At 36.9% G+C, this 27,918-nt stretch overlaps 1 protein-coding gene across 4 annotated transcripts in view, besides 2 other annotated features; it reads left to right on the top strand.

The window, feature by feature from the left end:
* HOMER1 (homer scaffold protein 1) overlaps nucleotides 1-20,383 on the top strand; it is a 141,499-nt gene extending 121,116 nt beyond the window's left edge. For 2 of the 4 annotated variants that reach the window (NM_004272.5, XM_047417894.1), the window contains exon 9: nucleotides 16,822-20,383. In NM_004272.5, coding sequence (NP_004263.1) covers nucleotides 16,822-17,010 — 189 coding nt within the window. In that variant the 3' untranslated portion in view covers nucleotides 17,011-20,383. The remainder of the gene's footprint in view (nucleotides 1-16,821) is intronic. The other 2 variants (NM_001277077.1, NM_001277078.1) reach the window with 1 other exon arrangement.
* Nucleotides 11,820-12,319: an enhancer, noted in NCBI's record as "H3K4me1 hESC enhancer chr5:78676523-78677022 (GRCh37/hg19 assembly coordinates)". NCBI's record gives its function as "activates a minimal SCP1, AML or CMV promoter by ChIP-STARR-seq in primed H9 embryonic stem cells {active_cell/tissue: H9 hESC(primed)}" and the evidence as "EXISTENCE:reporter gene assay evidence [ECO:0000049][PMID:30033119]".
* Nucleotides 11,963-12,169: a silencer, noted in NCBI's record as "fragment chr5:78676673-78676879 (GRCh37/hg19 assembly coordinates)". NCBI's record gives its function as "represses an EF-1alpha promoter that drives an FKBP-Casp9 reporter gene in an ReSE screen in phorbol 12-myristate 13-acetate-treated (for megakaryocytic differentiation) K562 erythroleukemia cells {active_cell/tissue: K562(+PMA)}" and the evidence as "EXISTENCE:reporter gene assay evidence [ECO:0000049][PMID:32094911]".
* Nucleotides 20,384-27,918: the final 7,535 nt, after the last annotated feature.

Genomic DNA, 27,918 nt, shown 5'->3' with positions numbered 1-27,918 from the left:
TTTGCTTTGTTTTATTCTGGATGGCTCTCTTCTCTCTCTCTCTCTCTCTCTCTCTCTCTCTCTCCCTTTCCCTTCTTTTCCCTCCCTCCCTCGTAAGACAGTGGTAAGTATTCATGTATTTGTATCTAAGCACATCTAAACACAGAAAAGGTAGAGTAAAAATACAGTAGAAACGATAGAAAAGGTACAGTAAAAATACAGTAGAAAAGGTAAAAATTGTACACTTGAATAGGACACTTATCATGAATGGAACTGTAGGACTGGAAGTTGCTCTGGGTGGGTCAGTGAGTGAGTGGTGAGTGAATTTGAAGACCTAAGATATTACCATACACTGCTGTAGACTTTATCAACACTGCACTTAGACTACACTACATTTATTTTTTAAAATGTTATTTCTTCAATAATAAATTAGCCTTAGCTTACTGTAACATTTTAACTTCATAAACATTTAAAATTTTTTTAACTTTTTACTTTTTTGTAATAGCTGCAAACATAAACATGTATTCAGCTGTAGAAAACTATTTTCTTTATATCCTTAGTCTGTAACCTTTCTTCCTATTAAAAAATGTTTTTAAAACTTTTTAAACTTCTTTTAAAAAACGAAGACACAAACACACATATTAGCTGATGCCTACACAAGGTTGGGATCATCAATATCACTGTTTTCTACCTCCACATCTTGTCCCACTAGAAGGTCTTCAAGGGCAATAACAGGCATGGAGCTGTCATCTCCTATGATAACAATGCCTTCTTCTGGAATACCCCCTGAAGGACCTGCCTGGGGCTGTCAGATAATTAATGTTTTTTTAAATAAGTAGAAGGAGTACACTCTAAAATAACTTGAATAGTAATAAATAGTATAGTATAATAAATATATAAACCAGTGACATGGCCATTTATTTTTATTAAGTATTATGTACTATACATAATTGTATGTGCTATGCATTTATACAGCTGACAGCACGGTAGATTTATTTATATCGGCATCACCACAAACACATGAGTACGGCATTGTGCTGTGATGATATGGCAGCTGCTGGGTGATAGGAGTTTTTCAGCTCCCTTATAATCTTATGGGACCACTGTTGCATATGCTGTTCATGGTTGATCAAAACATTGTCATGCATTGTCATGCTGTGCATGACTGTATTCAATGGGAAGTCTTATACTTCTTATTTGATATACTTGTTCTTTCTCATTGTCTTTTTTGATTACCTAAAGTTAGTAGTGATGTGTCTACTTTGTGAAGTTTCTTTTTCTTTTCTTTTTTTTTTTTGAGACAGAGTCTCACTCTGTTGCCCAGGCTGGAATGCAGTGGCGCGATCTCAGCTCACTGTAACCTCCGCCTCCCAGGTTCAAGCTATTCTGCCTCAGCCTCCCGAGTAGCTGGGACTACAGGCACATGCCACCACGCCCGGCTAATTTTTTGCATTTTTTTAGCAGAGACGGAGTTTCACCGTGTTAGCCAGGATGGTCTCGATCTCCTGACTTCGTGATCTGCCCACCTCGGCCTCCCAAAGTGCTGGGATTACAGGCATGAGCCACTGCACCTGGCCTTTTTTTTTCATACATAAAAAAAAAAAGATTTTGGCCAGGCGCGGTGGTTCACACCTGTAATTCCAGCACTTTGGGAGACCACGGCGGGAAGATTGCTTGGGCCCAGCAGTTTGAGACCAGACTGGACAACATGGTGAGACCTTGTCTCTACAAAAAATTAGCCGGATGCGGTGGCACATGCCTGTGGTCCCAGCTACATGGGAGGCTGAGGTGGGAAGAACGTTTGAGCCCAGGAGGTTGAGGTTGCGGTGAGCCGTGATTGTGCCATGGCACTTTAGCACTGGAGACAGAACAAGACCTATCTCAAAAAAAAAAAAAACAAAAAAAAAACCCACAAAATTTTGATTAACTAGTAAGTGCCACTTATGAATTTACCTGATGAATTTCTGTTTTTATCTTATTTATTCCTGCCTTGTGCTTTGTTTTTTATTTTTTTAGCATTTTGAAAGGGGATTTAATTCCTTTTTTTCATTCTTTCACTTTTATTTATATATGTGTTTCAGGCTGTAGGTCTTCCTCTGATCATTGCTTTAAGTATATCCCATAGATTCTGATATTTAATGTTTTCATTATTATTTCTGGAAATTCTGTAATTTTGACTTTATTTCCTTTTCATACAACAGCTGTATGAAAGGTATAAAAAGTCCCTTAATTTCCTGGTGGAAGGGTCTTTTTTAATCTTTTGATTTAGTTATTAATTTATAGTTCTATTGCATTGGGATCACAGTGTTTTATTTGTATAATTTCTATGTTACGTAATTTACTGCTGCTTTTTCGGTGACATAATATTTTATCAGTTTTTATCAATGCTGCTTGTGTGTCTTGTGTTCATATACTTGGATAGTGCTTTGTGACCCAACTGAAAATATTTTCTAGTAGATGACTCATTCATGTTTATTGATATGATTTTTATGTTTGGTCTCAATTCATTGTTATCATTTCTGTGTGTGCATTGTATTAATAATTTTCCTATATGATGTGTTCTTTGCTCTTTTTAACTATCTCTTGATTTTTAAATATCTCTTGATATTTAAAATGGTCTTAGTTTTGTTGTAGTGGTTACCTTTGAACTTCCACTCCTTTAAAATGCTCCTAGTTACCTGTGTTCGTATTTAAACGTATACTGTCTGGTTTGTTTTTTGGGGGTTTTTGTTTGTTTGTTTGTTTTTTGTTTTTGAGACAGAGTCTCACTCTGTCACCCAGGCTGGAGGCCAGTGGCACAATCACAGATTCCTACAGTCTCGACCTCCTGGGCTCAAGAATTTCTCCCTACTCAGCCTCCCGAGGAGCTGGGACTACATGTGTGTGCCACCAAGCCTGGCTAATTTTTTAATTTTTTGTAGAAGTGGGGTTTCACTCTAGTGCCTAGGCTGGTCTTGAACTCCTGGGCCCAAGCAATCCTCCCACCTTGGCCTCCCAAAGTGCCAGGATTACAGGCATGAGCCACCGTGCCTGGCCTGGTTTATTAGTTTTTAATGATATCCTTTGACTCTGAATTATTAACACACTTAATAATAATGTGCTTGTTATGCTCTCATTTTTCTCTTTCTCTCCCTGTTTTTTGGTTGCATTATTTCTACCTCGTCAGAATACTAAACAGATTATTTTTTAACTATCATCTACATTTGTTTTAGTCTTTATACATTAAATATATTAAATGTTTCCTGTCTTAGTCCTTTTGTGCTGCTGTAATAGAAAACTACAATCTGGGTAATTTATAAAGAACAGAAAGTTCTCACACTTCTGGCAGCTGGAAAGCCGAGGTCAAGGTACGGGCGGGTTTGGTTGTGGGACTGCTTTCCCCTTCCAAGATGTTGCCTTGTTGCTGCATCCTCCAGAGGGAATGAATGCGGCCTCCTCACATCGGGGAAGATGGAAGAGCAAGCCACCAACACTGGAGGGGAAACCTCTTTTATAAGGACCTTACTCCCATTCATGAGGAGAGGAGCCCTCATGACCTAATCGTCTCTTAAAGGCTCCACTTCTTAATAGCATCATATTGGCCACTACATTTCAACACTTGGATTTTGGAGGGGACACATTCAAATCATAGCACTCACCATTAAGTCCTTTTTCTGAAGTTTCCACAGTGATCTCTTGGTTGGATAAAGCTTATCTTCTTGTGGATGGTTGCAAAAGAGCTCATGGATACATACTTTCTGAGATCTTGCTTATTTAAACTTTTTTTTTTCTCATGTATTCAGTATTGGGGCGAGAGCTTGGCAGGATATTTAATATAAAATCCCTGGTTCATAATTTTCTTTCATTGAGTTACTTGAAAATGACACTCCATTATTGCCTTGTTTTGTATATTTCTTTTGAGAAATCTGATTCCAGTCTGATTCTCTTGCCTTATAAGTTTTGGACTCATTTTGCTTGTGTGCCCTGAGGATTTTTCCTTTATTTTTTAAATAAAGTTTAAATGATATACTAGAATATTTCACGAAATACATTGTTGAGGGTGTTTTCCCAGGTACACAGTGGGCCTTTTTAATTTGTATATCCAGGTTTTTCTTTATTTCCAGGAAGTTTTCTTGCATAAAAGTTTTAAATACTAGTTCTGTTCTAATGTGTTATTTTTCTTCTTCAGGAGCTCCAATCTTGTGTAATTTGATTTTGTTTTTTGCAACCTCTTTCTGTTTTCTTTACTTTATCTCACTTTCATTCTCTAGGATTATTTAAAATAATAAGTAATAATTGAATTAAAAATAGTTTTATTCAAATCTATTTTTCCTTGGGTCCTTATAACTCGGTTTTCATTTCTGATAGATTATGCCTTTTTCTTCTGTTTCTCTCATGAGTTCAATCAACCTTTCTGTTCTTTGGAGTTTTGTTTACCTATTTCTATTCTAAGTTTTTCAATATATAATTCAAACTTGTTTTTAAATGCTTATTTGAGAATATTTAGTTCAGAGTGGAATATTGAGTTAGAGTTTTCTTCTGATTCATAGTTGGTTTTTGGAAGATTCATCTACTCAAGTGTTTTTAGTATTTTCTATTTTCTATTTCCTTTTGTAATAGTTTGTGTAGATGAAGATTGCTTACACATTTGCATTTTGTGGATAGAATAGCAGTTTGGGGTGGTTTATAAATTGTTAGTTCAAAAACACCCTCTTTTGCAGAGACAATCAGAAGAAAGATTGTATGTCCTTTAATAGTTTTTCTTTGGTCTTAAATTTTCCTTTCTTGCTTATTTTTCCCTTTACCCCGCAAGATTCCTTTCTCTTCCTTTTATCTTCTGCTTTTTGGAACTGTCTTCAGCCTTTCTAAGACTACCTCCTCAAGTTTCGTTTATACTGTTAAGTTCCTTTCTTATAGTCTGCTCTGGTTTTCTAGAACTTTTTTTTCAGTATTCTGGCATTCACACTGGTAGTGGTTTTCTCCTTCTTGGGGTTACCGTAGTTTAGTCTGAGCCCTTTTGTTCTCTACTCTTCTGGGCATTGCCCCCACAACTCTGCCTTCCCTTTTGCAAAGGGTTAGAGTGAGAGCTTGAGAAATACCTCTGCTGGAAATTGGTGCTTATATTTTCTAATTAAAGGCAATTTGATGTTTGTATTGTTCTGTATCTTCTAGTTATGTCGAAGTCATGGAATTTGCATGCCTTTGTATAGTTTGTATAGTTTATATAGTTTGGGGAGGATAGAGGACTGTGATTGCAGTGTACACAGTCACTATTACCTTGGCTGCCCAGAAATCTATTCTGTTTACCTCTTTATAGCCAGAGTCTTCCTTATAGAATGTATGTTCTATTAAAACAAGAACCATCTTTGTTTTATTTACTACTTTATCCCCAATGCCTAGTACATAGAAAATGTAATTGTTGAATAACTGCTTCAAAATGTGTGTATGTTTTACCCATTTTTCTATTAAATTATTCTACTTGTCTTGATTATTTATAGTTCCTATTATATAGAAGGTAACAGTCTTATAGGGCAATAATACATCTTATTCATAAGAGCTTAAGAAGTATATCAGATGTCAATTTTTCTACAGCTTTTATTTAGATTAAATGATGCAAGATTTAAATTTATAGAAAATTAAAGCTGGGTTTAGTACTGTAATCCCAGTACTTTGGGAGGCTGAAGCAGAAGGATTGCTTGAGACTAGGAGTTTGCAACTAGCCTGGGCAACATAGTAGGACCCTATCTCCACAAAAATATTTTAAAAATTAGCTGGGCATGGTGATGTGCACCTATAGTCCTAGCTACTCAGGAGCTGAGGCAGGAAGATCATGTGAGCCCAGAAGGTTGAGGCTGCAGGGAGCCATGATTGCACCACTGCACGTCTGGGTGACAGAATGAGACCTTGTGAAAGAAAGAAACGTGTACGTCTGGGTGATAGAATGAGACCTTGTGAAAGAAAGAGAGAGAGAGAGAGAGAGAGAGATAGAGAAAGAAAGGAAAGAGGAAGGAAGGAAGGAGAGGGAGGGAGGGAGAAAGAAGGAAGAGGGGGAAGGGGGAGGGGGAGGTTCAGAGAGGGAGGGAAGGAAGAAGGGAAGGGAAGGAAGAAAGGAAAGGAAGGAAGGAAGGGAGGGGAGGAGGGAGGGAGGAAGGAAGGAAATTAAGCTGATCTGGTGCCAGTGGTGGTATTCATAATTGTTATTTAATTTTCTTTTAATCATTGTAGTATTTTAGGCTCTTTAACAAATAGCATAACCTCCTGCCCAGTAGGATTTTATACTTTGTTTTTGCCTTTGTTTCCTTTTATTGATAGATAATATTTTACGTATTTATGGGATACATGTGATAATTTTTACATGTGTAGACTGTGTAATGATCAAGTCAGGGTGTTCGAGGTATTCAGCTCCTTGAGTACTTATCTGTGTGTTGGTAATATTTCAATCCCTCTCTTATAACTACTTTGAAATACACAATATATTGTTGCTAACTATAGGAACCCTAGTCTGCTATCAAACATTAGAACTTACTTCTTCTATCTAACTGTAAATATATAGCCATTCACCGATCTTTTTTCATTTTCTCCTCCCACCATCACACCTTTCCCAGCTTCTGGTAACCATCATTCTACACTCTATGTCCATGAGATCAAGTACTTCAGGTCCCACATATCAGTGAGAAGATTCAGTATTTGTCTTTCTGTGCCTGGCTTAGTTCACTTAACATGATGACCTCCAGTTCTATCCATGTTGCACCAAATGACATGATTTTACTCCTTTTTAAGGCTGAATAATATTCCATTGTATATATACCACATTTTCTTTATCCATTTATCTGCTAATGGACACTTAGGTTGATTCCATGTCTTTAGTATTGTGAATAGTGCTGTGATAAACATCCCAGTGTGGGTATCCCTTTGATGTACTGATTTATTTCCCCTTGGACATATATCCAGTATTGGGATTACATGATTGTATGTTAGTTTTTTATTTTTAGTTTTAAAAAAAAAATCTCAAATAGTTTTTAGCAGTTGTATTAATTTACATGAATCATTGTGTAAAAGAGTGCCCTTTTCGCTATATCCTCACCAGCATCTGTTCTTTTTTGTCTTTTTAATGATAGTCATTCTATCCATTCAATTCTGATGTTATCTGAAAGTAATGATAATAGCCATTGTAATTGCAGTAAGATGATAGCTTTTTTTTTTTTTTTTTTTTTTTTTGAGACAGAGTCTTGCTCTGTCACCCAGGCTAGAGTGCAGTGGTGCGATCTCGGCTCACTGCAAGCTCCGCTTCCCAGGTTGATGCCATTCTCCCTCCTCAACTTCCTGAGTAGCTGGGATTACAGATGCCCACCAACATGCCTAGCTAATTTTTATATTTTTAGTAGAGATGGGGTTTACACCATGTTGGTCAGGCTGGTCTGGAACTTTTGACCTTAGGTGATCCACCTGCCTCAGTCTCCCACAGTGCTAGGACCATAGGCATGAGCCATCGCACCTGGCCATAAGATGATATCTTATTTGGTTTTGATTTGTATTTCCTTGATGATTAGTGATATTGAGCATTTTTTAATATACCTGTTAGCCATAATATGTCTTCTTTTGAGAACTCTCTATTTATGTCCTTTGCCCATTTTTTAGTGGAGTTATTTGTGGTTTTTTGTTGAGTTGTTTGCATTTCTTGTATATTCTGGATATTAGTCCCTTGTCAGATGAATAGTTTGCAAGTAGTTTCTCCCATTCAACAGGTTGTCTCTTTGTTGTTTCCTTTGCTGTGCAGAAGCTTTTTAGTTTAATATAGTCCCATTTGTCTATTTTTGTTTTAGTTGTCTGTGTTTTTGAAGTCATAGACATGAAGTCTTTGCCTACACCAATGTCCAGAAGTGTTTTTTTTAAAGTTTTCTTCTAGTAATTTTATAGTTTTAGGTATTACATTTAAGTCTTTAATCCATCTTGAATTGATTTTCATATATGGTGAGAGGTAGGGGTCTCACCCTATCTCTGAGGGAAAAGCTTTTCCTCATTCACTATGATGTTAGTTGTGGGTTTGTCACTTAGGCTTTTATTATCTTGAAACATGTTCCTTCTGTGCCTAGTTTTTTGAGCATTTTTATCATGAAGCGATGTTGAATTTTATCAAATGTTTTTTCTGCATCTATTGATGATCATATTTTTTTCCTTCATTCTGTTGATGGGATGTATCATTTATTAATTTCTCTGTGTTAAACCATCCTTGTTTCCTTGGTATAAATCCCATTTGATTATGGTGTATCATCTTTTTGATACACTGTTGAATTCAGTTGGCTGGTATTTTGTTGAGGATTTTTACATCTGTGTTTTTCAGGGATATTGGCCTATTGTTTTCTTTTTTTGTTGTATCTTTGTCTGGTTTTTGGTATCAGAGTAATGCTGGCCTCATAGAATAAGTTAGGAAAAGTTCCCTCCTCTTCAATTTTTATGGAATAGTTTGAAGAGGATTGGTATTAGTTATTTATTGTTTTGTAGAATTTGGCAGTGAAGCCCTCTGGCCTTGTATTTTTCTTTGTTGGGAGACTTCTTACTACTGATTCAGTCTTGCTACTCATTATTGGTCTGTTCACGTTTTTTATTTCTGATTCAAATCTTGGTAAGTTGTAAGTTTCCAGGAATTCATCCATATCCTCCAGGTTTTCCAGTTTGTTCATGTATACCTCATAATAGTCTCTCGTAATCTTTTGTATTTCTGTAGTGTGAGTCGTAATGCTTCCTTTTCCATTTGTGATTTTGTTTATTTGGGTTTTTCCTCTTCTTGGTCTAGCTAGTGATTTATCAATTTTGTTTATCTTTTCAAAGAACCAAATTTTTGTTTCATTGATCCTTTATTTTTTTGTTTTATTTTTTGGTCTTTGTTTTGTTCTCCTCTGATCTTTATTATTTCCTTCTGCTATTTTGAGGTTTGGTGGTTTTTTTTTTTTTGCTTTTCTAGTTTCTTGAGGCACATTGTTAGATTGCTATTTGAAATCTTTCTACTTTTTTGATGTCGGCATTTATTGCTATAAACTTGCCTCTTAGTACTGCTTTTACTTTTGCTGTGTCACATGGGTTTTGGTATGTTGTATTTCTGTTTTGTTTCAAAATATTTTTTAATTTTCATCTTAATTTCCTCATTGACCCAATGGTTGCTCAGGAGCATGTAGTTTAATTTTCATATATTTGTATAGTTTCCACAGTTTTTCTTGGTATTGATTTCTGGTTTTATTCCATTGTGGTCTGAGAAGATAATTAATACGATTTCGATTTTTAAAAATTTGTTGAGACTTGTTTTGTGGCTTAACATATGATCTGTCTTTGAGAATGTTCCACGTGGTAATGAGAAGAATTGTTGTATAAGATGTTCTGTAGGCCAGGCGAGGTGGCTCATGCCTGTAATCCCAGCACTTTGAGAGGCCAAGGTGGGCAGATCACAAGGTCAGGAGTTCGAGACCAGCCTGGCCAACATGGTGAAACTCTGTCTCTACTAAAAATACAAAAATGAGCCGGGCATGGTGGTGGGCACCTGTAGCCCCAGCTACTCAGGAGGCTGAGGCAGGAAAATCGCTTGAACCCGGGAGGCAGAGGTTGCAGTGAGCTGAGATCGCACCACTGCACTCTAGTCTAGGTGACAGAGCTAGAGTCTGTCTCAAAAAAAAAAAAAAAAAGATGTTCTGTAAATGTCTGTTAAGTACAGTCTGTCCAAGGTCCAGTTTAAATCCAATGATTCTTTGTTGATTTTCTGTCTAGATGATCTGTCTAATGCTGAGAGTGGGGTGTTGAAGTACCATACAAATTATTGTATTGGAATCTATCTGTCTTTCAATCTAGTAATATTTACTTTATGAATTTAGGTGTGCCAGTGTTGGGAACGTATATATCCTCTTGCTGGATTGATCTCTCTATCATTATATAGTGACTTCATGTTTTCTACTGTTTTTGGATTAAGGTATATTTTATCTGATATAGGTATAGCTACTCCTGTGCACTTTTGGTTTCCATTTTCGTGGAATATCTTTTTCCATACATTTACTTTTGATCTGTAAGCCTTTTTACAAGTAAAGTATGTTTCTTGTAAGCAGCATACAGTTGGTCATAACTGTAATCCATTCAGCCAGTCTATATCTTTTAAGTGGAGAATGTAATCCATTTTCATTCTAGGTTACTATTGATATTTGAGGTTTTGTTCTGTCACATTGCTAATTGCTTTCTGGTTGTTTTGTTCTTTGTTCCTTCCTTTTTCTCCTATTGTTCGTCATTGTGATTTGGTAGTTTGGTGTAGTGATACCATTTGAATTCTTTCTCTTTTTTATTTGTGTTTAACAATATTTTATACTTTCATGTGCTCTCAGGATGGAAAATGTCATCCTTTCATTTCCAGACTTAGATCTCCCTTGAGCATTTCTTGTAGGGCTGGTATAGTGGTGATGAATTCTTTCAGCTTTTGCTTTTCTGGGAAAGACTTTATTTCTCCTTCATTTACAAAGGATAATTTTGCTGGATGTAGTATGCTTGGATAGCAGTTTTGTTTTTTGTTTTTCCTTTCAACACTATGAATATATCACCCCATTCTTTCCTGGCCTGTGAGGTTTCTGCTGAGAAATGCCCTGTTGGTCTGAAGGGGGTCCTTTTTAGGTGACAAGATGCTTATCTCTTGTTCTTTTTAGAATTTTGTCTTTAGACAATTTGACTATAATGTGCCATGGAGAAGACCTTCTTTCATTTTATCTGTTTGGGGATCTCAGAGCTTCCTGTATCTGGATGTCTAAAATCTTGCTAGATTTGGGGTGTTTTCATCTGGTATTTCATTAAATAGGTTTTCTACCCTTTTGCTCTCTCTTCACCTCCGGGAACCCTGATAATTTGCATATTTTATGGCCACTTTATGGTGTCCCGTATGTCACAGAGGCTTTGCTTATTCCTTTTTATTACTTTTTCTTTATTTTTGTCTATATTATTTCAAAAGACTTGTCTTTGAGTTCTGAAATTATTTTTTCTGTTTGATCTGGCCTATTGTTGAATCTTTTGAATGTATTTTTTATTTCATTCAATGAATTCTTCATATCCAGAATTTCTGTTTGATTCTTTTTTATAGTGTATATCTCTTTGGTAAATTTCTCATTCATAGCCTGAATTATTTTTCAGATTTCTTTGTACTTTTTTTTTTTTGGAGATGGAGTCTTGCTTTGTGGCCCAGGCTGGAGCGCAGTGGCATGATCTTGGCTTACTGCAACCTCCACCTCCGAGGTTCATGTGATTCTCCTGCCTCAGCCTTCAGAGTAGCTGGGATTACAGGTGCATACCACCATGGCCAGCTAAATTTTTGTATTTTTAGGAGAGACAGGTTTCACCATGTTGACCAGGCTGGTCTCAAACTCCTAACCTCAAGCAATCTGCCTGCCTGAGCCTCCCAAAGTTCTGGGATTACAGGCGTGAGCCACTGCACCTGGCCTCTTTGTGCGTTTTTTACAATTCTCTTGTATCTCACTAAGCTTCTTTAGAATCAATAATTTGAATTCTTTTGGGGGGACTTTATGAATTTCGTTTTGATTGGGATGTATTGCTGGAGAATTATTCTTTTCCTTGGAAGGTGTTACATTTCATTGCGTTCTCATGTTTTATGTATTCTTACACTGATATCTACACATCTGGTTTAACAGTCACTTCTGCCAACTTTTAAAATTTGCTTTCATAGGGGAAGATTCTTTCCTGTAGATGTATCTACGCTATTGGATGCACAGGGCACTTTGGCTTTGATTCCGAGTGTGTTCAGTAGCATGGTCTCTGTATGATTTCTTTGGCTGTAAATAGCATCAATAGTACCTGTGATTTTCTTAGTGGCTTAGGGTGCAGTTCGTGGAGGCTGTGGTGAAGTTTTGCTGGGGACTGGGACACCAGGTGGGCCAGTCTTTGGACCCTGATGGTGGTACCAGTGGGCCAAGTATGCCTGTCCTTAGGCTCCAGGGCTGTGTTTGCTTGCACCAGTGTTAGCAGTTCCAGGCAAGCTGATTTTGGGGTCTCCTGGTGTCTTGGAGGCCAGTAGTGGCAGCAGTGCAAGGGTGGGTGGGTTCTCCGACCCCTGGGCAACTGGTGTAGTATGGACGATGGCAGTGGTGGGACAATCCTCTGTGTCCCGTGCAGTGCATGCTGGTGTTGGCAGTGGCGGCAAAGGGCTGGATAGGCCATTCTCCAGGCCTGCAGGTGGTATGTGCAGGTAGGTGCCAGCTGTGGTGGTAGCAGCCAGGAAGGTAAGCCCAACCTTATTCCCCTGGGAGGAGTGTTTAGGTGCCAACATTGGTGGACTGGGCTGGGCAATCCCTTCACTCCCCCTACCCCCCGATTATATGCTGTGACATGGAGGGGATCAAAGCCAGGCCAATTAGGCTAGTTTTCAGGCCCCCTGATGGTATGTGCAGGTGCCAGCCATGGTAGGTAGGGGCGGGGCAATCCCCAGGAATGCTCACATTGTTGTTCTGCTGCTCAGAAGGACAATGCCACCTTCACTGGTGGCAGCCTTGGCTGATGTGTGGGAAATGTGCACGCCACTCATGCCTCAGCCCTGACGGTGGTAGCCTGTGCCTCGATGGCACTCAGCCTGGGTGCAGTAGCCTGCAGTCATTTGCACCTAAGCACTGGGTGTAACAGCCCATGTTTCTCTTGAGCCTTAGCTACAGCACTGTTGGGCTCTAGGACACTGCAGTTTATTGGAGGTGGGGCTCTAAAATGGGGCCTTGCTGCAGCTTAGGTCTCGGGTTGTGTGGCACCCAGCGCTAGTGCTCTCCCAAGAGCAGTGCTGTCACACAGTCTCCCAGCAGTGTTAGTTTCCAGTGCCTGTGAGAGCCAAGAGATTTTCCCATGACTCAGATTGCAGGATTCATGGTGGAAATATGGACCACTGAGGTTCTCTTACCCTTTATCCATATTGGGGAATCTCAGCTCCCCACCAATCCTGGCCAAGCCGACTTCCTTCTTCCTTGCTTTAGGTATTTCTTGTCACTTTTTCTGTTTAATTCCAGTGTCCTCTGTTGGATGATCCATTTGAAGTATGATTAGTCACTATTTCGGTTCTTCTTAGTAGAGGAGGCAAGTACAAATTGCTTCTAGTCAGCCATCTTGAATCCTCTCCCACCTTTTAAAGCACTCAGGAGGGAGTTGATGATTCTGGTCTACTGTGCTTTATCAGGGCTGAACAATGCCTCTCTCTAGTTGCCCCTGGTGTGTGCCTTACATTAGTAAAGGAAAAGAGGGAAATAACAGAGCCAAAATGATAATGAGCAGAAGAATGAGTTTGGAAGGAGAATGAAAGGCAAGGCCGGGCATGGTGGCTCACGTCTGTAGTCCCAGCACTTTGGGAGGCCGCGGCAGGACGATCACTTGAGCCCAGGAGTTTGAGACCAGCCTAGGCAACATAGTGAGACCCCTTCTGTACAAGAAAATAGCAAATAGAAAGGCAAGAAGGGAAAGGTTGGTTGGAAAATATGGACAAAAGGTGCTGAAGTTATTGTTGTCAGAATATATGTATATAAAATTCTCTGTCTGTAATATAAATGTATATAAATATTTATATATTTATATATTTATATATAAAATATATATTATATATTATATAAATATATAATAAATATATAATATATAAAATATATAAATATATAAATATTTATATAATATATAAAATATATAAATATATATAAATATTTATATAATATATAAAATATATAAATATATATAAATATTTATATATTTATATTACAGACAATTTTAATATATATAATAGATATATATAATATATAATATATATAATAGATATATATAATATATAATATATATTATAGATATATAAAAATATATATAATATATATTATAGATATATAAAAATATATATAATATATAAATATATTTATATAAATAATTTTTATATATAAATAAATATTTATATATTTTATATATATATATATATATATATATATATATATATGGACAAAAGGTAGACACCTAAGAAGTGCCACTCACCATGGCTTCTGTTACCTCTTGGCCCCTGTGCTCTAAGTTGTCTATTCTTGCTCTAGGAACATATTCTCTTTGCCTAAAAATAGACTAGCACCATCAAGCAGTGTATTAGGTCCTTTTTGTTATCTAACTAGTAAAATTCCTGCAAACAGAGAGGTGCTTAGAGTAGGGGATTCATTCTAGAGAGAATAACACAATTTTATTAGCTGAGGGAATTTTGTGTTTTGCTTGCTTCCATTGAAAATGTTTGACTATTGCATTGATTGGCAAGGAAACAAGGGAACCTTTCATTTTTGGGAGGGCTTTAGAGGGCAAACTGGGTGGTGCCTGGTGAAGTGGGTGTCTGCTAGTGAATGACATTTGGTCTATTTTTATAGTTGGAAACATTGTACCCTTAAGCTTATTGTTTAAGTAGGCAAGAGAGCATGCTGTGCAGTCATGAGTGGAATTTTTACATTTGATCTCAGGATCTGTGTCCTCCCTCATAGTTAAAACCTCCATGTGTTTGGCTTCTGAATTTATAAATATTTTATTAGTTTGAGATTCTCCTCTCAATTTACTTATCTTGACCTTGCAGATTAACCAAAGTGAAGAGATTGGAAACATACCTGGCTAACATCTAACAGTCAATAGTTTGAGATTCGATTCCTTAAATTCTTCCTTTAAAAATCATTATAGCTGCTTGATTCCTTTCTTATATTTTCCCAGGCTCTTGCAACTCATCTGTAGCATCCTTGAGCCTTGTCAAACCACTGACAAAGATAACCCAGAGTTATTACTTTTTAAATGTATTTGAGCCAATTTCCTTTTTTTTTTTTTTTTTTTGAGACAGAGTCTTACTCTGTCACCCCAGGCGGCTGGAGTGCAGTAACGTAATTTCGGCTCACCACAACCTCTGCCTCCCGGTTCAAGTCATTCTCCTGCCTCAGTCTCCCGAGTAGCTGAGATTACAGGTGCCTGCCACCACGCCTGGCTAATTTTTATATTTTTAGTAGAGACGAAGGGATTCGCCATGTTGGCCAGGCTGGTCTCGACCTCCTGACCTCAGGTGATTCAGCCTCCCAGAGTTCTGGGATTAAAGGCGTGAGCCTTGCCCTAATTATTTTTCTTGAAAGTTTAATTTTTACATTGTGAAAAAAATTTAGTTCTTAATTTTTTTTTCATTCTTTATCCAACTTGAGAGAAGAATAAATTTTTGGAAAAAAGTGTCTGTAATTTCAACACCAGAACTATTTTTTATTTCCTATTTCTACATTAATTCCTAGTGTTTGTCCTCATGCATACGAATTTTTGCCAGTTTCAGTGAGCTACTTTATATTCTGTTCTTTTCATTTAACATTTACCAGATTGTCTTTCAGTGATCTAATTTTTTTAAAATTTCCACTGTCCTTTAGACTTGATAGAATTCCTTTAGAGATTAACATTTAAAGGATGTATTAACATTTTGAAACATCTCATTTTCTGAGGCTATCATGTTGTGTAACTAACATCAAGATATTTTCGTTGTCCCATATAGTTTATATATCTTAATGTAAATTGTGTCAGTCACTTAGTTTCTCTCAAATGTAAAAGTGAGCTTTCCAGAACGGATATATAACAACTTTCAATTCATTGCTTATCTGAATTGCTTATTTAAAGTGTAATAGTTGGCTTTCTCCCATTTTTCTCAATCTGATTTTTTTAACCAAAATGAAATCATTAGCTTGATTTATGTCATTTTATTTTTTTAGACTCACTTTATTATATTTGTCACATTTAGAGACAATTTTAAAAGCAGTAATAGGCCAGGCGGGGTGGCTCACGCCTGTAATCCTAGCACATTTGGAGGCCGAGGCGGGTGGATCACTGGAGGTCAAGAGTTCAAGACTGGCCTGGCCAACATGGTGAAACCCCGTCTCTACTAAAAATATAAAAATTAGCCAGGTGTGGTGGCGTGTGCCTGTAATCCCAGCTACTTGGGAGGCTGAGGCAGGAGAATGGCTTGAACCTGGGAGGCGGAGGTTGCAGTGAGCCAAGATTGCACCATTGCACTCCATCCTGGGGGACAGAGTGAGACTGTGTCTCAAAGAAAAGAAACAACAACAAAAAAACAAAAGCAGTAATAACTGCTAAATAATTTTTAAGTGTGCCAGAGTTTATTCTGTCAAAAACAAATCATTTAGTGTTTTTTTTGTTGTCATGAACATTTGATTTCCTTTTGTCATTTTTTTCCCTTGGTTTGCAATGTATTGGAACTGTTAACTTATAATTCTCTAATATGTACAGTTATTATGTATCTTCACTACAGTTTCTAGCAATTGAGTGATACTCTCTACATATACATTTATTTGATATTGAGGCAAAGCAAAGAATAACATATTCAGAGGATCCTAAAATCACATTTTAGAGAGTTACTTTCTTGTCTAAATCTTTCTCTAGAGTTGCCAGTAAACAGAAAAAGTTAATTTCTTTTTCTTTCTCTGCCTGCTTTCACCTGTGATTGCTAATAATTATGCATTAGGAGAAATAGGTGGACAGCAATAAAAATGAGATCTAAGTGATCCATAAATAGGTCTTCAAGCCTGTCTTGGTATTTGAAGTACCTAGAGTGTTGCCTGGCACAAAGTAATGAGTCAGTAGATTTTCGTTGAGTGGTTAGATAGATTGATAACCAAGCCAGTCATTAAAATCGTATTGCTCTCTGGGATGGCCAAGTCTAAAATCTCCTTAAATTGTGCTAAATTAAGATTCTGCAGCTCATCCTGACAGTCAAACTGCATTGATTACCGCAATATTGGTAATAACAGAGAGTTGTATTGTTTTCTAAGTGATGAATTGACATATATACATGTTACACTTTTGTTTCTGAAGGAAGTAGAAATTCGGAACAAAGACCTGGAGGGACAACTGTCTGACTTAGAGCAACGTCTGGAGAAAAGTCAGAATGAACAAGAAGCTTTTCGCAATAACCTGAAGACACTCTTAGAAATTCTGGATGGAAAGATATTTGAACTAACAGAATTACGAGATAACTTGGCCAAGCTACTAGAATGCAGCTAAGGAAAGTGAAATTTCAGTGCCAATTAATTAAAAGATACACTGTCTCTCTTCATAGGACTGTTTAGGCTCTGCATCAAGATTGCACAAAAAAAAAAAAAAAAAAATTGAATATCACTCCTCCAGGAGGAGGATCTTTTGAAATTGGAATTGTATATTTCACTGTAAATTTTAGAATCCAGCTTGTAGCTAGTTGGGGAAAAAAGATGAAAAACTTGAACTACAAATTACCTCCATGTATATTATTGGCCATAGTTAACTAGAAAGTTATAAATAGACACTTAATGCAATCTTTTTTCCTGATATTAGCCAATGGGAGAATTAACAATGTCTAGGTCACATCCCCTTTTTGTGTTCAACACAGTGAAGATTATCTGCTTTTTAAATTAATTTATTTACGATATCTAGAGCTGTGTTTTGTGCAAAAACTTAGTGATGAAAGCCTGTCTTTTGTTGTAATCTGAATAATTTCTCAGGATATTTTTGCACTGCTGAGAAGCAGTGCCATTACCAATTAATTCTTGCCAGGAGTGAGAGAGAGCTGTATCTTTAATTGAAATATACTATAACTGGGTGTATAGAGTTCTTCCCTTTTTTGTGCTGGAAGATATTTCACTCTGGTGACTACTCTGGTACACTCTGGTGTTCTCTAATCTTGTCTGTTGTATAGTTTACTTTTCCATATTGATTCCATGTATTTATGAGAAGATATTGTCTCCCATTTTATTACACATTTTAAAGCCAACTAACGAAGGCAGCTGAGTCCCTCAGAAATTTTTCTTTTTAAGTTTCTAATAAATTTGACACACAGTACTGAAATACAGCAGCCCGTCATTGACAGGCTGGTCTAGCAATGTTAAGTATATTTACAGAATATGCAGTTACATTTATTTATATATTTTGCAAGAAATCTTTTCTGAATGATCAATGCATTTCAATTTACGAATAATAATGGTTATTGGGGAACTGTTTATTATAGATAATTTTAAGGTGTATAGCTATTTTAAAGGGGGTCCATTTACATCAAACAGCTGATCAGAGGACTCTATCTAAATTGTGATCGTGGCAGATAGAGATGGAGTCATGTACTCTATCTGGCTCTACACATCAATCACATCTTGATTCAAACCTCACAAGGCAATATTCTGAATTGTTAACTAGGTATTTCAAAACAGGAATTAAATTCAATAGGCTCTTCTCAGTGAACAGGTTTTAATGTTGTTTTGATGTAATTTTAAAAGACTTTTAGCAAACATGCATTTCTTTATATGATATATTTCTTTTACGAAGCTATTTTAAAAGTAAGCCAAGTGCTGTCTAGTCTGCTTATAAAGTAGGAATTGCATCAGAGTACATATATTCTTGCTGTACAATGCCTGTGATGTTGAGGAGGGTTCTTTTTTAAAGTGTATGCTTGAGTAACTGACTCTATGGAGTCTATAAATGCACTGACTTCTTGTTTGTACCCCAAAATGATCGAATTGTTAAGTACAAAATTAAGCTAATTAACCAATTTGTAACCATTTTTTCACTCATAAACAGCTACTCAATACTAGACAATTTTGTTTTTTATGTATGTGTATGTACGTAAATACATACATATTAATTTACATTAGAGTGAAAAATAAATGGTTTGTTTCTGAAGTTAGTTTCTTAAGTGAGTTTTCAGGTGTCTCTGAAAAATTTATAACAATCATGTATTATATGTGCTGTAACATCATGTACGTTACCTCCATCTATTTTAGGATATTTTCCTCACCTATATATTATAGGGAGAATAATTTAGATACACATGCTCAGAGCTGAGATATTTCTCTGATAAATCAGGTAACAAAATGTATTTGATTGATGGAATTTTGAAGTAAATGTGTTTTTATCCATCAGTTTCTGAGTAACAAAGAGCACCAAGTTTTAATTTAAATAGGAGATTTAACACTAGGGATCAGGGAGTTTAGTATGAAGAGTTAAAAAAATTTAAAAAACAGTGTAAGCTGTTGAAATGGCAAGTGAATTATTTTAATGATGTAATAAAATATTTTTAAATTTTGACATAGTGATCATTTAATGAAAAAACTCACCAAAATGTCTCCATTTGAATTGTATTGATAATGTGGGACATATGTGTGATTCAATATATACATATACCCATATGTATATACAGAAAATTATTTTTAATACTTTCCTACTGATAATGAAATTTAAAATTGGAAATTTTGTGAGTGTTTTTCTTGTCCAATAGAGCCTAATTGTTTCCTTTTTTAGTGATTTAACAATCTCTTGAGGGCTGCACCTTTAAATTCCCAGATTGTCAATAGACATGTACAGTATATGGGATAAGGTGGACACAAGTGCACATATAAATAAAATCTTCTTAAGACTTTTAACTATTCATTTACAGTAGGAGAGTATGTAGAAATCATCATCCACAAGTCATAATTAGGTTGTGTGCCTACTGTAGTTTTTTCCATTTCTGTATTATATAAACATTTGCATATTAAAATTTGATTTTTCCCAGAGACAAGTATTATATACTGTATCTATATTTAAATCAAACTGTGGTAATATATTTCTCAGAAAATAATGTTGGGGACTATAGCCTGAACATGTGGACTTGAAGCGACATGGAGGAGGAGGTTGATCCCATTGTGTATAAGTTAATATGTGATAACTATTGAATCTTGTACAAAAACAAAAATTGAAAAAAAAAAAGAAAAGCAAAAATACAGTTTTTATTTTGAAATACATTTGTTCTCTGGAGAATGTACTTTATCTTTTTTTCCTCCAGTCTTTTACAGATATTTAAAAGCATTTAAATGATGACAGCATTTACTTAAATCTTTCAGGTGCTACTGGATTTTGCATTAGTGTGTTATGTTGTGAAATCCTAACTTTGACATAAAAGGTTTTATAAGTATTCCCCTGCCTGGAAAATTAGTTTTTGTTCTCCTCTCTCTCTCTTTCTCTTTTCCACTTTCTTTCTGCAGACTAAAACATGCTCACGAAGTTGCATCTCTCCTTGTCTCTATAGAAGATCTCCAGCACCATCATAGATTTGATGTTCTGCTGTCATTGAACTGTTGGGAAGCAGTTAGAGGAAAAGCTCACTTTTTTTTTCAGGTGGAAATAAAAGGAACACTCAAAATTAAGCCAACACCACCACTACCTTTAAAAACTAGTTTATTTGCCCTGTTAAAATTAAATGTATTCTTTAACATGTGGGCTACAGTCTCCCATGTTTTTATTTAACTGAAGCATATACACTTCGGTCATTTATCTCCTTGTGGTCCTGATTTTGTCAGTACTGGAATGGGAGGCAGGTCGGGGAAAGTTTGTTTGATGGCAGTGGATTCTTATTGTTGTTTTAACCATTGCATTTATTTGATATCAAATGATTTTGACATCCTGAAATTCTGTGCTTGAAGTCATGAAATGATTTTCATTGAATTTTTGCCTCCTAAATGTATAGCATGAAGTAAATTAATTTATACAAAATCTTAAGAAACCTTTCAGGTAAGAAGTAGTTGAGATTGACACTGTTAGAAAATTTCTCAATTTCTAAATTTAGAAATTACTAGAAAAGGAAAGGATGTGTCATTCACCTTACTCCAAATTGCGAAAGTGTGTTTTTTCCTAATATTCGTGTTAAATTTTACCTTAAAATTTTTATGATAGTTTTTCTTCATGAGAAACTGATATATAGATGTCACGCAAATACAAGCAAAGTTACTGAATTAAAGTAGTGGGTACTTAGCATTTTTTGTTTATATATTACATAGTAAAATAGCTAAAAATCATATCCCAGAAAACTCAAAAACTCAGTCAGCACTACACTGCCTGGTGGTTTCTGCTTAGTACACTAAATAGAAAAAAAAAAAAATTTTAAGTGATTTTTACCAAAAACTTGAACTAGGGAGAAATTGCATCAGGACTAGAATAGACAGAAGGCCACAAACTCCTAGTCGACTTCTTGTCAAGTCTCTGATCTCTGTAAGGACCTCTCTTTTAGGTTAAAGGACACACTGCTTCTCGGCCTTTTGGCTAAGATCAGGTGTAGGTTAAAGGACATATTCCAGAAGCCACCCAGATTATATCTGGGTGGGAAGAGGATATTTTTTGTGAAAGCAGATGCAGAAAAAAGAGCAGGAACATGCTGCCTTCAGTTTTTATCTAAGGCATATCAGGATAGCCAGAGACACAGACCAACTATTTCCTACCTTGCTGCTGCTTTTAACCAAACAGATCGAGATGGCACTGAGTTTCAGAGACTTTCAGAAAACCCTGTCACTTGTCTTGTCAGGATTTGTAACCCAATATAAGACACCTGACATTCAGAACTCACCATTTTGTGGGATTCTGACCTACTTTTTTTTTTTTTTTTTTTTTGAGATGGAGTCTCACTCACTCTATTGCCCAGGTTGGAATGCAGTGGTGCAGTCTTGGCTCACTGCAACCTCTGCCTCCCAGGTTCAAGCAATTCTGCCTCAGCCTCCTGAGTAGCTGGGACTACAGGCACCTGCCACCACGCCTGGCCAATTTTTGTATTTTAATTAGAGTCGGGGTTTCACCATGTTGCGTAGGCTGCTCTTGAACTCCTGACCTACTTTTGTCGGTTGTTTTCGTATCAGATATACCCAGGGATAGAGGTATTACTCTGTTTTCTTCTAACAACAAGAAGTGAAGATAATGGGTGCCTAATAAATGCAAATATAAGGTCATTTCTGTAGCACAGAAAAATCTTTTGTGTTTATCAACATTCATGATTTTTCTTGTTACCTATGTATTATAACTACTTTACTATATACACAGATATATTGTCAATCACATCTATATGAATTGTGGATATGACTTACTTGATTATTCTACCTTAATTTATAAGGAATGACTATCTCAGGAAGCATGACTAGAAAGCAGATGTAGTTGAAGTCAATGTTTTCTCTGACTTCAGTTTGAAATGGAACATCAAGAAGTATGTATTAAACATCTGCTATGTGATAGGCACTGTACTAATTGATATTTTATTTCTATGGATAGTGGCCTTTCCAGGGGTATTCCTGTGGGAGGGGAGGGGGATAAGGAAGGGAAGAGGCTCAAATGATTCTACCTGCTGTTCCCATGGTTATTGGTCTGGTTATCCAGCACACTGGTGAAAAGGTGGAGGTCTTGCTCATATTTGTGGTACAGTTTTTTTGGCTTTTCTGTCTTGCTTCTCTAGAGTATCTCTGTTAGGGCACTTGTTAACTAAATATTTCACATCTGGTCTTCTGAACGTCTTCAGTCTTTGGTGTTTACAGTACTTCTTATGAAGTTATAAATTTTACTTTCTTTGCAGGTGTCATTTATGCAATATGTTTTGGACTCAATTTTTTTTAAAACTTACAAACTTCCAATAATCCAACGAAAGTAAGTAATTCTTTATATGCATAATTTTAATCTATAAAATTTAAGCAGCAAACTATTCGGCCTTGGGAAAGCAGCTCATCTCTTAAGTTTTTAATGAAATGAGTTGTAAACCTATAAAACTCATCCCCTGACACTATATAGTAGTTCAACAAGATATGGGTTTTGCTGTCAGTACTGGGTGACTTTGTGGTCAATTCTGGTTGTGCCAGAACTTAATGTCTTCCTTTTTTTTTTTTTTTTTTGAGAAAGAGTCTCGCTCTGTCCCCCAGGCTGGAGTGCAGTGGCGTGATCTCGGCTCACTGCAAGCTCCGCCTCCCAGGTTCACACCATTCTCCTGCCTCAGCCTCCTGAGTAGCTGGGACTACAGGCACCTGCCACCACGCCTGGCTAACTTTTTGTATTTTTAGTAGAGACGGGGTTTCACCGTGTTAGCCAGGACGGTCTCGATCTCCTGACGTCGTGATCTGCCCGCCTTGACCTCCCAAAGTGCTAGAATTACAGGTGTGAGCCACCACGCCCGGCCCAGAACTTTATGTCTTTCTAGGTTGATCAAACCATTAGATCAGTTGCAGAAATAACTCATGGCTCTAGGATCTTCAGAGAGATGGTAACAAAGATCAGGGTGAAGACACTTCGGTTTTTTTGTTTTGTTTTGTTTTGCTTTTTGGGGTCGGTTTTTTTTGTTTTGTTTTTTTTTTGGTCTGAGTTTTGCCCTTGTTGCCCAGGCTGGAGTGCAGTGGCACAATCTCAGCTCGCTGCAACCTCTGCTACCAAAGTCCAAGCGATTCTCATGTCCCAGCCTCCTGAGTAGCTGGGATTACAGGCGCACGCCACCACACCTGGCTAATTTTTGCATTTTTAGTAGAGATGGGGTTTCACCATGTTAGCCAGGCTGGTCTTGAACTCTTGACCTCAGGTGATCCACCCACCTCAGCCTCCCAAAGTACTGGGATTACAGGGGTGAGCCACTGTGCCCAGCCTCAAGTGTTGAGTTGTTAACCTTTCTTATTGTAATAAAATGTACATAACAAAATTTGCCGTTTTCACAGTTTTTTAAGTGTATGATTCAGCAACATTAAGCACATTCACAACGTTGTGTAACCATCACCACGTATCCCTTTCCAGAACTTTTCATCATCCCAAATAGAAACTCTGTACCCATTTAATAATAGCTCCCTATTCCTTCTACCCTCTCCACCCTCCCCACCTGCCCCTGCAGCCTGTGGCAACCTCTGTTCTACTTTATCCCTTTATAAATTGGCCTATTCAAGGTACCTCATATAAGTGGAATCATATAATATTTGTTTTGTTTGTGTCTGGCTTGTTTCACTTAGCATAATACTTTCAAGATCCATGTTGTGGCATATATCAGAATTTCATTACTTTTCAAGGCTGAATAATTTTCCATTGTGTGGATATATGATACTTTATTAATTCATCTGTTGATGGATACTTGGGTCGATTCCCCTGTTTGGTTCTTGTGACTGTTGCTGTTATGAACATTTGTGTACAATTTATCTGAGTTCTTGCTTTCTAGCATTTTTGTGGATATTTACCTAGGAGTAGAATTGCTGGATTTTATGAGAATTCTATGTTTAACTTTTTGAGGAACTGCAAAAGGATTGGGTTTGAATTAGGTAAACCTAAAAGAGTTGTAGAACAATGTGGTAGCTCACTAGGAAATCAGTCTTGGGGTTAGTGTCTGGTTAATACACCTGTATGTAATTAATTGGCCTCTGAGTCATGCCTTTTATCACTTCTTTTCTAAAACATTTATTAAGCACGTACTTTGTCGCAGGCCCCATTTTGGAATACAAACTATAGAGAGAAGCTCGCAGTTCATTGCAGAACACAGTTACTTTGCAGTGCACAAGTTATATGACAAAGGAGAACACTAGCACAGGGCAGTCCAGAGGGAAGAGAGCTTGGCTCTTTCCCAGAGGAGGTGACATCTGCCTGAGGCTTGGTGGAGGAGCAGGAGCTGGCTAGTTGAAGAAGAGGTAAAAGACAGTTGCAGAGAGTGTGCTGTGCAAAGGCTCAGAAGAGTGAAGAAAATATTGGGACATACAGAAAGTTAGAATGGATCGATACAGCCCGAAGCATAGGATGTTAGGGAAGGACGTGGCAAATGATGGGGATGGAGAAGTAGCCAAAGGCCAGAGCAGGAAGGACTTTGTAAGTCATTTTAAAAGATTTCCATTTCACACTGAACGTAACGGAGAAATATTGAGGATTTTTTTTTTTTTGCAAAGAAATGATGTAATCAGAAATATATTTTATATAGCTATTATGTACCTACAAAAATTAAAAATTATAACAAATAGGCCGGGCACAGTGGCTCACGCCTGTAATTGCAGCACTTTGGGAGGCCGAGGTGGGCAGATCACTTGAGGTCAGGAGTTGAGGCCAGCCTGGCCAACATGGTGAAACCCTGCCTCTACTGAAAAATACAAAAATTAGCTGGGCATGGTAGTGGGCCCCTGTAATCCCAGCTACTCGGGAGGTCGAAGCAGGAGGATCGCTTGAGCCCGGGAGGCAGAGGTTGCAGTGAGCCAAGATCATGCCACCGCACTCCAGCCTGGGCGGCACAGTGAGACTTCATCTCAAAAGAAAAAAAAATTATAAAAAATAATATGGTTTATAAATCAGGCAGCTATGTAAATCACAATCCCTGTTGAGAGGCTGCATTATGGCAGTAGCGGTGGGAATGGATTCAGAGTCTATAGGTGGTAGAACCGGTAGGACTTCTTGACTAATTTAGATGGCAAGGAAAAGAGGAATGCAGGATGCTTCTAGATCTCGTGGACAACCAGATGAATAATCTCATTTCCCCAGAGAGTGAATTCAGAAGGGCAGAAACTCAGTTTTGTGAGTTCTGTTTTGCATTTTACATGCCTATCGAATATCCAAGTGGAACTGTGGGTCTAGATGGAGCTCGAGAGATAACTATGAGCTGGAGATAAATATTTGGGAGTTGCCACTTTATGTAGTGGTAATTGAGAGCATAAGAAATGGAGAGAATGCAGGGTGAAAATGTCATCTTGGGGCAGATGCAGGACAAGAGCTTGTGAAAGGAATGGCCAAGAGGAATAGGTGGACAACCAGAGGAGTGGGAGCTCACAGGAGCCTTGAGTGGAGTTTCAGAAACCCAGATTTCACACAGAAACATCAACAAATCAACTTCGCGTCTCGAGGTGATGGTATTTAAACTGTGTTCTATTGAGACCCTTCATTAATATTTGGTTTTGAAATATATTTTAACATAAGTTAAAAATAGCAAACTCAAATATGGTGTTTCTAACATTTTAAAACTGAAATCCAGCAAACATCAGTGCCACGTTAACTGTTTTTTTGTGCAGGTGCCAGAATAAGGCCATTTCTGGTAAATTGAAGAGCTTCCTGGTATTTCAAGGTGAGCTGTTGAAAGAACTGGTACCATTTCTCAGTGTGAATCAGGGCTTTCTCAATGCTCTGTCACTGAAACAAAATACAGAAATAGGGTCTACATAAGATAACTTCTGTCTTCTGTAAACCTAGTCTCAAATGTTTGTTTATGAAAATAATTTTATTTTGAATGACTTAACTGCTTAAGTGTGACATCCCATGCCTTCTGTTAATATATGGGGCTTTGATGTTGTCGTTTTTAAGGGTTGGGGAGGTGTAGCTAAGAAGAAGTTAACCAACACCACTTTCTTTCTGTAGCTTATTTGCCTCTCTTCAAAGTCAAGTTTTAGAGGCTTATGTGTATTGTGTGTTTCTTTTTACATGTATTATTTTGATACTGATTATATCACGAGGACCACGTAACTTTGTGTTTGCATTGCTATAGAAAGTTTAGAGAGTTAATATTTCTGTTATCTTAAATGGTCCTCTTTTTTTCATATTTACTCATAAACTTAACTGCTTACAAATTATCTCTGATAGAAGTGCTCTCAAATTATACTCTTTGTATTTGGTTTTAGACTACTGTATGATATTTGATTTTTATTTCTAGTTTAAGTTACAATTAAAATTAGTCTGAATTTGAGTAGAATATGACTTACACTACTTGGTCAACAAATTGAGCATGTTCGACGGTCCAGGAAGAAAAAAGGAGCGATCAGTACTCAACATTGGCTCCAAATAACCCACAGAATTTGCAAATCACTTGCAAATTGTCTAATAAAGTTTAACTTTTAAACAACTTTTGTTTATATTTTTCTACTTAGTGATTAATCTTGGTCTCCTGTAGCAGAGCCTTTATTTTACAATTACAATCTGTGCATTAAAATCTCAGCGTTATACATAATAGTATAAGGCATAGAACTACCTAGACTATGGTGCATGGCCAACTACTCCATCTCACAACAGTTTTCATACAATTTCATGACCTCAGTGTTATCGTTATCCCCATTTTATAGATGGGGAGTCTGAGGTTCAGCAAGATAAAGTGATCAGCCAAACAGGAGGCAGAACCAGGAATAAAACACAGGTCCTCTGCCTCCTCTGTGCCTTTCTCCATCATGCCTGAACCATGACCTGTGGGTATTTTTTAAGAAGGCAGGTACAAAAGTTTATCAATTTTCAGTATTTAGCAACCTATCACTTAATGAGAAGGATCGAATGGTTTTCCATTTCACAATAGTATTATGTCTTCGAATTTCACCCTACTTATTTTTTTAGGAGAAACAAGTTTAATTTTAATTATATAAGTGGTTCATGTATACTTTCTTTTTGTAATTGTTTTTAATAATACAGATAAAGCAAAAATCATCCTTGACCTCTCAGTTCTATCCCTAAAAACTGTTACTATAAGCTCTTTAATGTCTATCCTTTCAGCATTTTGTATGCATTTGTATACAATATGTATGTACTTATAGAAACATGTAGTTTTGGAGGGCAAAGAGTCATAAATTTTATCATATGGTATGTTTTATTCTACAGTGTGCCTTTTTTAACTTAATCTTATTAGATGATCTGTCCAAGTTGGTACATACAGATCAGCCTGATTCCTCCGAACTCCTTCAGAGTATTATTTCATTTTATGGATATATATGATTTATTTAAACATTTCACTATTTTTTCTTTTCATTTTCATCTTACCCCCTTCTTCCCCACCTTGAGCTACTTGTTAAATGTTAGCAATATTCAGGAATAATCAGTGCCTAGTCACCAAACGTCTTGCAGTGCTTCTAATGCCTTCTCTCACTGGGGAGAATGAACTGTGGATGAACAAATGTTCCTGAAAACTAAAACTCAAAAATAAGTTTTACTAGCCTTGATGAAAATCTTCCCAAATTATACTCAAACAACATCTAGCAACATACTTTGGACATAATAATTGCACAATAAATGTGTTAAATGACTGTTCATGTTTACTGCCTTAGAAAAGAGAAGACGCCACGTGTAATTTTATTTTATTTTATTTTATATTTATTTTATTTTTTTGAGATAGAGTCTCGCTCTGTTGCCCAGGCTGGAGTGCAGTGGCAAGATCTCAGCTCACTGCAACCTCTGCCTCCCAGGTTCAAG

Source organism: Homo sapiens, chromosome 5 (assembly GCF_000001405.40).
Source record: "Homo sapiens chromosome 5, GRCh38.p14 Primary Assembly".
NCBI lineage: Eukaryota > Metazoa > Chordata > Mammalia > Primates > Hominidae > Homo > Homo sapiens.
This window is presented reverse-complemented; position numbering and strand designations above follow the sequence as displayed.